Source organism: Homo sapiens, chromosome X (assembly GCF_000001405.40).
Source record: "Homo sapiens chromosome X, GRCh38.p14 Primary Assembly".
Classification (NCBI taxonomy): Eukaryota; Metazoa; Chordata; class Mammalia; order Primates; family Hominidae; genus Homo; species Homo sapiens.
The window spans coordinates 70,129,454-70,143,057 of NC_000023.11; the positions used below are offsets into that span (position 1 = coordinate 70,129,454).

At 44.0% G+C, this 13,604-nt stretch overlaps 1 protein-coding gene across 6 annotated transcripts in view, besides 1 other annotated feature; it reads left to right on the forward strand.

Annotated features, from left to right (window-relative positions):
- Window positions 3,994-13,604, forward strand: part of IGBP1 (immunoglobulin binding protein 1) — a 32,878-nt gene continuing 23,267 nt past the window's right edge. For 3 of the 6 annotated variants that reach the window (NR_199784.1, NR_199785.1, NM_001370194.1), the window contains exons 1-2: window positions 4,482-4,682; window positions 5,070-5,363. Coding sequence is in view for 4 of the 6 variants with exons in the window: in NM_001370194.1 (NP_001357123.1) it covers window positions 4,495-4,682; window positions 5,070-5,363 (482 nt within the window). In the remaining 2 variants the exon portion in view is untranslated. Of the gene's footprint in view, window positions 4,088-4,269; window positions 4,683-5,069; window positions 5,364-13,604 lie in introns of those variants that run through there. The other 3 variants (NM_001551.3, NM_001370192.1, NM_001370193.1) reach the window with 3 other exon arrangements.
- Window positions 4,413-4,872: an enhancer, noted in NCBI's record as "active region_29728". NCBI's record gives its function as "activates an Ori minimal core promoter by ATAC-STARR-seq in GM12878 lymphoblastoid cells {active_cell/tissue: GM12878}" and the evidence as "EXISTENCE:reporter gene assay evidence [ECO:0000049][PMID:35858748]".

Genomic DNA, 13,604 nt, shown 5'->3' on the forward strand with positions numbered 1-13,604 from the left:
TCTTTCAGGTAATAAAACTTCTCTCAAAGCAGCTCTCAGAAGAATAGGTGATTGTCTGGGTGTGGTGTCAGCCTCCGATCTCCTCTCCTGTGATCCAAGTTAATCTTCCCTGGTTGGTAAGATTCCTAGAGAGGGGATTCATGACAATTACATTCCTTTTGGAGGAGCCAGCTTTAGGCAGATAAGGGGAGCTCAGAGACAGCCTCTGCCTGTATCCACTGTTCCCCAAGTGCCCTTGGTTCAAATAATCAGCATACCAAAGTGGCATATTTTGGGATGGCATCTCCTGAACTCCTTCACATGTAAAGTACTTAGCATAGTCACTTGGCAGGATGTGAGCGCTCAGAGAAGGTTAGGTATTATTATGATACAAAGTTATTCATTTAACATTGAGTCTCTCCTACCTACTGGGTGGCAGGTTCTGTGCTAGAGTGAACAAAGATGAGTAAGACACTCTCCCTGGCCTTAAAGAGCTCTCAGTTTAGTGAGAGACAGGTGTGGATAAAGATAACCACAGTACAGTACTATCACAGGGGGATGAATCAAATGCTATAAGAGCTAAGAAGGAGGTAGCCTCGCCTACAGGGGAAAATCAGGAAGTGCTTCCCAGAGCAAGTGATCTTTGAGCCAAGTTATGAGTAATGAATAGAAATTTGCCAGGCACAGACAAGGAAGATGACATTCCAGGCAGAAGGTACCACCTATGTGAATGCATGAAGGCCTAAGAGAACATGATAGGTTTGGAGAACTAGGAGAGTTTGCTAAAGATTCAGCTTAGGATCCACGAAGGAACAAAATGAAAAGGATGTCAGCAGGCAGATTAGAAAGGATCTTAAAGTCATGTTATTGAGTTTGACCTTTAACAGAATGCCCCTCCGGGCCAAAGTTATTCTCTCCATTCCTCTAACACCTTGAACACACCTTTATCAAAATATTTATCAAATTAACATTTGATTATTTGTTTACCTGTCTCTTCCGTGGAACTATGGACCCCTTAAGAGCTTAAACCTCGGGTAGTGTTCGAATTCTCAATGCCTAGCATTCAGGTAGCACACAGCATGTATGGAAAGAGCAAAGGAAGGAATTTCTCCAAGGTCCCACAGCTATTCAGTAGCAGAGTTGGGCTAAAGGGATCCTCCCACCTCAGCCTCCCAAAGTGTTGGGATTACAGGCGGGAGCCACTGCACCTGGCCAGATTAATGCTTTTTATATTGTGTTACTTAGAGCCCTTGAGTCCCTCACCTGGAGTGCCACTCACTGAGCAGGTTGAGGAAGATGGGCCAGTGGCTGAGTTGGCAGGCTTCTTTGTATCCTCTTCAAATACATCAGTCCTTTTAGAAATTACAGGCTCTCTAAAACTTGTTTTGGAAAAAGAATTATGCTACTACAAAAAGTTTAAGTACCGTTATACTTTCATGATTGTTAAGTGCCCTAAACTAGGATTTTAAAAAGTCTCCCATGCACAACAGGAGTTTAATATGATAAAGTGTTTACACACAAAACACAGCAAACGACTCGTTTTTATTATTCCTTTTTTTCTTTCTTTTTTGTGAGACAGAGTCTCGCTCTGTCGCCCAGGCTGGAGTGCAGTGGTGTGATCTCGGCTCGCTGCAGCCTCTGCCTCCCGGCTCACTGCCTCAGCCTCCGGAGTAGCTGGGGTTACAGGCCCGCGCCACCATGCCCAGCTAATTTTTGTATGTTTAGTAGAGACAGGGTTTCACCATGTTGGCCAGGCTGGTCTTGAACTCCTGACCTCAGGTGAGCTGCCCACCTCGGCCTCCCAAAGTGCTGGGATCACAGGCATGAGCCACCACGCCCGGCCATTATTCCTTTTTTTCTAACCACTTTTTAATCTTGGTATTCTTTCAGAATAAGATGAAATGCAATGCTTAAAATGACAACTCTAATATATAACAGGCACTCTGAAAGTAATTGGCATCTCCCATAAAGACCGTCATTTTGGCTGGGCACACTGAATCACGTCTGTAATCCCAACACTTTGGGACGGTGAAGCGGGTGGATCACTTGACCTCAGGAGTTTGAGATCAGCCTGGGCAACATGGCGAAACCCCGCCTCTACAAAAAAATACAAAAATTAGCCAGGAGTGGTGACTTGCACCTGTAGTCCCAGCTAATTGGGGGGCTTGAGGGTAGAGGATCACTTGAGTCCAGGAGGCGGAGTTTGCAGTGAGCTAAGATCGTGCCAATGCATTCCAGCACTCCAGCCTGGGTGGCAGAGTGAGACCCTGTCTCAAAAAAAAAAAAAAAAAAAGACTAATTTTGAAAGCCATAAAAAATGACTTACAAAGTTTAAGACCAAATTAAGACTGTGCACATTTTTTTCCTCTTAAGTAACAGTAAAGACATGTTTTAATCCAAGCAAATGCAGAGAAGCAAATTATCTTTACTCTCACAATTACTACATTTCTAAGTCTCCTCCACAAGTACTATCTTTTTCTTTATATTCCCTGCCAAGCCTGACCCTGAAAGGTCAGTTTACTAGAGGTGCCAGATAAACCAAATAGGTAATTCGCCAAAGCCTCACTTCCTTCTTAGTTTATAAAGCAGGGGTTGCAAGGGAAGGTTTATTAGAATCACCTGGGAAGCTTTTTCAACCTACATGTGTGCCACAGCCTCCTCTCCCTCTTAGGAAGCACTGTTCTAGTTTGGGGCTTCAATCTGTCCCACATTAAAGGTCTTCATCTTTCTAAATCCTACCCAACTGAAGGTTAATGGAGTAGAAACAATTGAACGCAGAAGTCACTGACTTTGTCACAAACTGGCTGGACAAGTCCCTTAACCTTTCTGGTCTCAAGTTTTTCCTCCGATTTTGGGGGTTCCCTTTAAACTTTGACATTCTTCTATGTGACCGCATGTCATGTCTAAGAAGCCTTCTGAACTACTCCTAGCATGGGATGACTTGCCCTTTCTTGCTTTTCCAACAGCCTGTGCAATACAACATATCACCTATTTTATACTGTCCTATATTGCCCTCTAGTTGTTTTTTAATGAAGCTTTTTTTCTTCTCAACGATATGTAGTTTAAAATACTAGTTTAAAAGTTTATTTTCAGGGGTAGACAGTGTGCCTGCTACTTAAATCTCCTAGGACAATTCAGGCTGCGTCCTAAGGTAATCAGTATGTATTTATATTGCTTTGTTCAAAACAATGACGTCCCTTCTTTGAAGTCCTGAAATTATGTTTTCCATCAGTTCTGTCCAGTAGAAATATAATGGGAGCTACAAATATAGTTTTAAATTATCTGGCAGGCACATTTACAAAGTGAAAAGAAAGAAGTACAATTAATTCTAATAATATATTTAATCCAACATATCCAAAAGACTATCATTTCAACATGTAGTCCATGTAAAAAGTATTTACATTTTTCATTCTTTTTTTTTTAAATGTCTTTGAAATCTGGGGTGTTTTTTACACTTGCAGCACATCTCGATTCAAAATAGCCACTTTCAAGTGCTTAGTAACCACATGTAGCTAGTAACTACCTACTGAACAATGCTGTTCTGCATAAGTTGGCTGCTTTCCAAACTGATCACTTTTTTTTTTTATTCAGATAATGACTGATACTGAGTACTCAGGCTAGCCAGAGTGGTGCAAAGATGAGTCAAATTCATTCTGATAAGAGAGATTTGTAAGTCACTAGCAATTATACAGCGTGGTAGGTGCCATGATAGAGATGCATAGGAGAAACCCAGACTTGGCGGCTGAAGGGCACAGGGTGGAAGGCGGTAGAGAGACAAGGAAGGTTGCACAGAAATAACATTTGATGTAGGAACTAAGTGCACGAAGGGAAGCCGGCTGTGCGGTGACCGGAGTTGCAGGTTGCCAATCTTGCTGAGGGGGGCTCCACCGGACGCCGGCCTACGGGTCGTAGGCGTGTGTGGGGTGAAGGGGGAAGAGGACGGGAGAGGATTGGCTGGGAGGAACCCGGAGCTCCATCTGGTGGGTGGACGGAAACCGCAGGGGGGCGCTACTTGCACTTCGCGCTCAAGCGACCGGATCTTCAAACCGTGGGAGTGGTGCGGCGGCTAGAGTCCCTGGACTCCTCAACCTAGGGAGCTACTCGCGAGGTAAGGGGCGCGCCAGACTGGCTCCTAAAACGCACTCGCTCGTCCGCACTCCTCGCGCTCCGAATTCAGCCTCGCCTCACCCGGGCTTCAGAGCCCACAGAACTTCTCAGCCCCGTGTCGGCGACGAGGAGCTCATGGTAAAACAGCGCCTAGGGTTTTGCTTGTTTGTTTGCTTTTAACAGATGCCTACGACTTGTAACGGGCTGCCTGGTAAAATGAGTCTATGGAAACGGTTGCCAGGGCCGGCTAACAGCGGCTCCCGGAAGTCCTTTGATGCTTTGTTAACAGTGAAGCTACTGGACCAATGAGGTGCTTCTTCCGGTTTTGTCCGCGCTCGCCTAATTCTTCTTTATCAAGGTTGCCTTTGACCCCGGAAAAGAGATCTTCCGGGTTCCTCTCTCCCCAAGATGGCTGCTGAGGACGAGTTACAGCTGCCGCGGCTCCCCGAGCTGTTCGAAACTGGTAGACAGTTACTGGACGAAGTAGAAGTGGCGACTGAACCCGCCGGTTCCCGGATAGTCCAGGAGAAGGTGTTCAAGGGCTTGGACCTCCTTGAGAAGGCTGCCGAAATGTTATCGCAGCTCGACTTGTTCAGGTATGGGGGAAGATAGTAATAATGGCTGAGAACGAAGGTAATAATGGTTACCAAGGGTGGAGCCATTGCGCCTGAGTGGAGGGGACCTTTAGTGGTGAGAACGTTTCGTTCCTACTTACCACTGCGATCTTGTGTACATTGTTTACATTCCCCACCTCTCTTCCCAGATGGTTGATATCTTACGACTCTGCTTCCTAGCGTCTGCTGATTGCATAGGCATTGGGTGTGAGCCCTCAGCCACTTTCATTGAGTGAAACTGGCCGCTGTTCCCCGTGCCTCCTCCCTCTGGTCCACTCCCAGCCCAGCCTCCCACTCCGTCCCCCAGAAAGCAAGGGCCACAATTTGAATGCCTAGTCAGGCTTCACTGCCTCCTTTTTGCTCTTCCAGCCGAAATGAAGATTTGGAAGAGATTGCTTCCACCGACCTGAAGTACCTTTTGGTGCCAGCGTTTCAAGGAGCCCTCACCATGAAACAAGTCAACCCCAGCAAGCGTCTAGATCATTTGCAGCGGGCTCGAGAACACTTTATAAACTACTTAACTCAGTGCCATTGCTATCATGTGGCAGAGTTTGAGCTGCCCAAAACCATGAACAACTCTGCTGAAAATCACACTGCCAATTCCTCCATGGCTTATCCTAGTCTCGTTGCTATGGCATCTCAAAGACAGGCTAAAATACAGAGGTGGGTCAATAGCTATAATATGAGGCCTGCCCAATGGCGGTGCTTTTCAGGGGCATGCTTTCTTGGCGGGTGGTGGGGGGCCAGAATGGTATGTGTCACTTTCTTGGTTCTTATTGAGCATAGGCCCTAGGGAGAGCAAACTTTCCTGAGTTTTTCCAAGAAGCCTCTGCTTTTGTTGAGATGATTATACCTACTTATCAGACCCTTACTACCTTATGGTTGGCAACAGCAGCAATGTAGTTTAGCAGAGTGTCTCCCAACCTTTTCCACATCACATCATAGCAATGTTCATATGGTACAGTGGGGTAGATGTCTCTGAAAGGCAAAGCTAGGCCATTTTATGGTCCACTGATTGAGGAGCTCTGTTCAGACTACTGGAGTAGATGTGTAACATCCTGAACTGATCTTAGTCCTGGCACAGCTTCATTGTGTGACCTTGGAAAAGTTGCTTACTTTCTTAGGTTTTTTTTGTTGTTGTTGTTTGTTTTTTAAACAACATTTAATGGGTGGTCATGATGTCTAGGAACTATGCTAGGCACTGGGGATACAAACTGTATAGGTATTTGTGTGAGTATGAGTGGTCCCTGCCTTGGAGGAGCATACAATCTGGTGAGGAAAACGGGCATAGAAACAGAATATCAATATAAACTGATGTTGTGGAGGGATGCACAAGGTACTATGAGAGCAGACAGGAAGGGCACCTAACCAAAGGGAGCAGGAGAGAGGAGAAAGCTCCCTGGAAGAGGTGACTCCTGTGCTGAGTTCTTTAAGGGTAAATAGGAATATCCAGGGGAAGAGGAGAGGAGGGCATTAGCCGGCAGAGTATGTAAAGCCTTAGTAAAGCCACAGAGGCATTAAAGAAACAGTGGTGGGTGGAGATGTGTAGACCAAAAACAGCAGCTATGAGCAATTAGGTGATGGTAGAACACAAAGAGGGTGGTGGTAAGGGGGAAGGAATGATACTGAAGAATGTTGTAGGGTCCACATCAAGGAGAGCCTGGGATGTGAGGAACGTGAAGAGAAACTTGTTGCTGAGAACTTGGTAAGGTGTTTGAATCCCAGCTCGACGACTGTGATTAATCACTGTGATTTGTGGTAAGTTATTTAATCTTTCAGTACCTTAATTTCCCCAGCTGCAAAATTCAGATAATAATAGGTTCTTCCTCATAAAGTAGTTTATGAGGATTAAAAGAGAAATATATATAAAGCAGTTAGCCCAATGTTTGACACAGTAAACACTCAAAGTCAACTATTATTATTTGTGGCTAAGAGTATGGGTCATAGAGTCAGAGACCTGGGTTTGAGATCCAGCTTTACTTATAATCTGTTGGACTTTGGGGAAGTTATTTAACCTAACTGAGCCTCAGCTTTCCTCATATGTGAAATCTAAGTAATAATGGTACAGATGGTCCCCGATTTGCGATGGCTTGTCTTAGAATTTTTTAACTTTATATTGGTGCAGAAGCAATACACAGTCAGGGGAACATCAATAAATTACATGAGTTATTCAACACTTTATTATAAAATAGGCCTTGTGTTAGATGATTTTGCCCAACTGTAGGCTAATATAAGTGTTCTGAGCATGTTGAAGGTAAACTAGGCTAAGCTATGATGTTCAATAAGGTGTATTAAATGCGTTTTCAACTTACCATATTTTCCATTTATGATGGATTTATTGAGATGCAGCCCTATTGTAAGTTGAGATGCATGTGTACCTATCTCAGGGTTAATAAGCACAAATGGGAAAAATCACATAAAACAGCACAATATCTGGCATGTGGTGAGTATTCTGTAAATGTCAGCTGCTATTAGGTAGGACACGCCAAAGAGCTTACTCTGGTTGGTGACTGAGATCCACTGAAGAGTTCTGTTTCTTTTTTCTTTATTATTATTATTATTATTATTATTATTATACAGAGTTTCACCCTTGTCACCCAGGCTGGAGTGCAATGGTGTGATCTTGGCTCGCTGCAACCTCCACCTCCTGGGTTCAAGCAATTCTGCCTCAGCCTCTCAAGTAGCTGGGATTACAGGCACCTGCCACCACGCCCGGCTAGTTTTTGTATTTTTAGTAGAGATGGGGTTTTGCCGTGCTGGCCAGGCTGGTCTCGAACTCCTGATCTCAGGTGATCTACCCACCTCGGGCTCCCAAAGTGCTGGGATTACAGGTGTGAGCCGCTGTGCCCTGGCTGTTTCTTTTCAAATAGTAGCATGATCACATTTGCATTTTAGCTAGTACACTGTACCAGCAGTTAGGAAACAGTGAGGGAAAAGATTAGACCCAGTTAAGTCACAAAGGTGACTAGGGTTTACTATTGCAATGGTAGAGGGATGGGGGAGTACATTTAGGAGGGTTGAATCTACAGGAAACCTGGTGATCAATTGGTTGTGGGAGGTGAGATAGAAGGAAGCAGCAAGGAAAGATGTCCATGTTTCTGATTTAGGTGGATGGCTGTGAAATTTATTGAGAAGGGGAAAGAGGAAGAAGAGAAGATCGGGGAAGGGGAGAGTATGAATTTAGTATAGAAACATGTTGAGGTTAAGGTGCCTAGGAGATAAGTAGAGGTGTCTGTTAGTCTGAAGCTCAGAGGAGAGGCTTGGTCTAGAGAGCTGAAGATGATTCATTTATTCAGAAATATTTATTAATTGCTTCCTGTGGGGCTGTTCTAGGTGTTAGAGAACCAGATGAAGTCAGTGCTGCTATGGAGCTTTTATTCTGGTGGTAGAGACAAACAGTAAGCTAGTAAATAATGTAATTTCCGCTGGTAAGGACCATGAGGAATAATAAAGTTAGGGGATAGTGAGTGACTGAGGATATGGGCTAGACTGATACGAAATGGAATTTAACATCCTGTCCTTTGTAAGAAGTTGAGGGCGGCCTGTCAGCAGATAATAGGTAGTTTAAACAGTGAGTTTGGTATCCAAATAATTATACAAAAAAAAAAAAAAAAAAAAACTGCAAGAGAAAGATGAGGGAGTGGTCACATCTGGTTGGAGGGATGAAGAAAAGGTTTCAGAACATAATGGCATTTGACACCAGGCGCGGTGGCTTATGCCTGTAATCCCAACACTTCGGGAGGCTGAGGCAGGTGGATCCCTTGAGGTCAGGAGTTCAAGACCAGCCTGGTCAACATGGCAAAACGCCATCTCTGCAAAAAAAAAAAAAAAAATTATCCGGGGGTGGTGATGCACTCCTGTAATCCCAGGTACTCGGGAGGCTGAGGCAGCAGAATCGCCTGAGCCCGGGAGTCGGAGGCTGCAGTGAGCCGAGACTGCGCCATTGCACTCCAGCCTCAGTAATGGAATGAGACTGTGTCTCAAAAAAAAAGAACATAAATGGTATTTGAGATGAGTCTTAAAGGATGGTTAAAAATAGAAATTAGGCTGAGTGCGGTGGCTCATGCCTGTAATCCCAACTCTTTGGGAGGCCAAGGCGGGAGGATTACTTGAGCCCAGGAGTTCAAGACCAGCCTAGGCAACAAAGTAAGACTCTGTCTGTACCAAAAAATAAAAATAAAAAACTAGCCAGGTATGGTGGCACAGGCCTGTAGTCCCAGCTACTCCAGAGGCTGAGCTGAGCTGGGAGGATCACTTGTTGAGGCTGCAGTGAGCTGTGATCGCACCATTGTATTCCAGCCTAGGTGACAGAGCGAGACCCTGTCTCAAAAAAAAAAAAAAAAAAAAGATTTTTCTGAATGTAAAAGTCATAGTGCTCATTGTAGAAAGTTTGCAAAACAGAAGAATATTTTTTAAATAAAAAATAAGCCTCAATCCTAGCACTCATAGATGATCATTGTTAACTTTCTGATGTGTTTCCTTTCAGTTACATAGTTATTTAAGCTAATAAATTTGGAATGCTGTAACTATAGCTTTTTATCCTGTTTTTTTAACCTAACATTATACCATGAGCATTTCCTCGTGTCTTTTGAAACCATGATATTGAATGTTCCATGCTCTAGTTGTACCATAATTATTTAATCTGTTATTGTCAAATATTTAGACACTGGTTTTTTGCTATTCTGAGTAATGCCATAAACAAACATCTTTAAATGTATCTGTCACTGTTTCCTTAGGGTAGATTTCTAGAGCCGGTGACTGGGTCAAAGTGTTTGAATATTTTGAGGCTCTTGATATGTGGTAAAAGTGTTGCTTTCTACAATAACAGAGTTTCAGAATATGTTCCACTGCATTTGTCTTGGGTGTTAATACTTAGAAAATCCAATTGGGTGGCCGGGTGCGGTGGCTCACTTTGGGAGCCTGAGGCAGGTGGATCACCTGAGGTCAGGAGTTCGAGACCAGCCTGGCCAACATGGCGAAACCCCATCTCTACTAAAAATACAAAAATTAGCCAGGCATGGTGGCGGGTGCCTGTAATCTCAGGTACTTGGGAGGCTGAGGCAGGAGAATTGCTGGAACCCAGGAGGTGGAGGTTGCAGTGAGCCGAGATCGCACCATTGCACTCCAGCCTGGGCTGGCAACAGCGAGACTCCGTCTCAAAAAAAAAAAAAAAAAGAAAAGAAAAGAAAAAAGAAAATCCAATTGGGCAAACAGAAAGTATCTATTGTTTTGATTTGCATTTCTTTGGCCTGCCGCTTTGAACGTTTTTCTTAAATGCCTGACAGATATCAACACTTAACTTTATACTAATGTCTCCCACATTCGTATTACTAGCCCAGACCCCTCCTGACCTTCAGACCCATACTTGCAACACCCTTCCTTCATGGGTGTTTCACAGACATGTCATACCTTGAACCCTTGGCTTTTTAACCCCCAAATGTGCCTCCTCACCCATCTCAGTAAGTGTACCACCATTGACTTAGGTTTTTAAACCAGAAACCTAGGATTTAGCTTCAATTCCTCACTTTTTCTGAATTTTCACATCCAGTCCATCAGCAAAGGCCTTTCCATTCCAGCTACAAAAGGTATCTTCTATCCTTCTATTTCTCTCCATCTCCACTATCATACCTCAGTCTAGGCTACCAGCATTTCTCAGCTGAGATAGACAAATCAGCTCCAAGGCCTTGTGTGATCTGCTGCCTGCCTCTTTTCAGTCTCACCATGTATCATTCTCCCCTCGTTCACTAGACTTCAGCCACAATGACCGTCTTTCAGTTCTTTGAATAGACCCAGCTCTGTCCCTCTATAGAATGTCTGTGTGTGCAGTTCTCTTTGCATGGAATGCTCGTCATATGGCTAATTCTTCATCCTCTAGGTCTCAGCTTAAATGTCACTCCTCAGGCCTTTCCAGATCAGTCTCTTTAAGTAGTTAACAACTATTATTCTCTCTTTGCTTCATGTTTGTTTCCTTCTTGGCACTTGTGTGCAGTCATTTCATGTGTCTTTCTGAGTTTTGTCTCTCTCCCCTACTACAGTATATACTCTATGAGGGCACAAGCCATTTCTTGTTCACTATGTTATGCCTGCCATAGAGCTTGGCATATAGAAGTTCCTCAAGCAATGCTTATTATTGACAAGCAGGAGAAACAAGATGAACAAAAGCCCAAAGCCAGGGTATATTTAGGTATGTTCAAAGACTACATAATAGTCTGGTTTGGCAGAAGCTAAGAGGAGTATGGTTGCAGCTCTGCATGAAGAAGTGATGTGTATATAAAATACTGAAAAAGAAGAGAGGCAGAGGGAGAAATACAAGTTAGCATGTTATAATAGTACTTTAAATAGGAAGAAGTGATAAAAAATGAAGTTATAGCTATCAGAGATACTACTTTTGCAAGAATAGTTTACATGGTTAGAAAACAAATTACTCAGATCCTTATTTACTTTCCAGAAGTCCCCCAACCCATGCCTTTAGATACTGAGGCCATCTTACATAAAACAGCTGAATGGTATGTCCTCTGTCTCAAAACCTGTTTCTTCATGTATGTCCTCTATTTCCCATATTTGAGGAGTATGAGTCTGCTTGAGTAACAGCACCTCCATCCTTTTGAGAGAAATAGAGAAGTGGACGCTGGGTAAGTAATGAGTCTAGTTTTGGATTTACTGAATTTAGGTCCTAAAGTGACAACTGGATAGTCATTTCCATAGACACATTTACTTGAAATGTGCAAGTAAAATTTATGAGACTGTTTTGTGACTGATGTGAAAAATTTAGGAGGCCTGTGCTTTCGTTGGTGTAGATGAGTTTGCCAAGGAAAAACATGTAGACAGAAAAAAAGTCAAGGATAAAACTTTGGGGCAAGTTAAGGGAGAAGGAAGAGGAAGGAAAGAGCAATCAGAAACTCAGTAAGGTGGCTGGGTGCGGTCTCTCACACCTGTAATCCCAGCACTTTGGGAGACTGAGGTGGGTAGATCACAAGGTCAGGAGTTCAAGACCAGCCTGGCCAAGGTGGCGAAACCCCGTCTGTACTAAAAATACAAAAAAATTTAGCTGGGCCTGGTGGTAGGCACCTGTAATCCCAGCTACTCGGGAGGCTGTGGCAGGAGAATCGCTTGAACCCGGGAGGTGGAGGTTGCCATGAGCCAAGATTGCGCCACTGCACTCTAGCCTGGGCGACAGAGCAAGACCCTGTTGCAAAAAAAAAAAAGAAACTCAGTAAGGTACAGGTACTTAAAGGAGCCTGGAAAAGAGAAAACAAATGTTATGTCCTCCTTGAAGCCTTTCCCTAATTATCTTCCCTCCCAGATACCATGGCATTTAGTTCATGTTACTTATCACAGTATAACTATCTGTCAGTCTCTAGACTTGAAACTCCTCAAGGTCAGAGACCTTGACTGATTGTATCTCAGTATACTAATTATGTCGTTGTATATAATTGCATCCCCTTGGTGCTTAACCCAGTAATTGGATCATAGTGGGTACTTGGAGGTGTCTTTGGGAGAGACAGAGTGGTCATAAAAAAGATGGAAGCAAAATGCTGTAGCGGAAAAAGCCTAGACTTAGGATTCAGACCTGGGGTAACTAATCCAATTTCTACCACTTAATAGATGTGGCATCATTTAGCAACCCCCCACCAGCCTCAATTTCTTTATCAGCTAACAGTGTATTGCTGCTCACAAAGCACTCTGATGTGTGTTTTTCCATTTGATCCTTTTAACAACCCCATGAAATAGACATTCTTATCCCCATTTTAGAGATTAAAAAAAAGGGGGGGGGCTCTGAGAATTGAATTGCCCAAAGTTACATAGCTAGTAAGTGGCTAGGTTAGGATTTAAACCCAGGTCTTCAAATTCCCAGTTCTAGTATCATTCCCACTGTAGCACAGAAAAGAGAAGAGTAGGCCAGGTGTGGTGGCTCATTCCTGCAATCCCAGCACTTTGGGAGGACAAGGCGGGCAGATTGTTTGAGTCTAGAAGTTCGAGACCAGCCTGGGCAATATGGTGAAACCCTGTCTCTACAAGAAATACAAAAATTAGCTGGGTGGTGGTGCACACCTGTAGTCCCAGCCACTCAGGAGGCTGAGGTTGGAGGATGGCTTGAGTCTGAGAGGTTGAGGCTGCAGTGAGCTGTGATCACACCACTGTACTCAAGCCTGGGTGACAGAGTAGAGACCCTGTCTCAAAAATAAAGAGAAGAGTGATCATTTGAAAGGGTAGAAAAATGAGTTGAGGGAAAGTGTTTCTAAGACAGGGGAAAGGCACCAGTAGAGTGAAAAACTAGCTGCTAATGACCAGGAGGATGATCAATAAATAGAGTGAGGCCCGGAAGAATGTGTGGGGGGTACTAGATTGATAACAAAAGTGGAGTGGTAAAGACATTACCTTTGGTTGGGCACAGTGGCTTGTGCCTTTAATCGCAGCACTTTGGGAGGCTGAGGCAGGAGGGTCATTTGAGGCAGGAGTTCAAGATCAGCCTGGGCAACGTAGTGAGACCCCCGTCTCTACAAAAAAATTAAAAATTAGCTGGGCATGGTGATGTGTGCCTGTAGTCTTAGCTACTCGGGAGGCTGAGGTGAGAGGATCACTTGAGCCCAGGAGCTAGAGGCCAAAGTGAGCTGTCATCACACCACTGCACTCCAGCCTGCGCAACGAAGTGAGACCAAAACAAAAAAAACACAAAGATATTACCTTGGAAATGGCTTGGTAGAGACAGAATCAGCTCCTTAAAGACAACAGTAAAAGAGGAAGAGTGAAGTTATCGAGTTGTTTTTTTTTTTTTTTTTTTTTTGTGAGACAGAGTTTCACTCTTGTTGCCCAGGCTGGAGTGCCGTGGCGCGACCTCGGCTCACTGCAAGCTCCGCCTCCCGGGTTCAAGCCATTCTCCTGCCTCAGCCTCCGAGTAGCTGG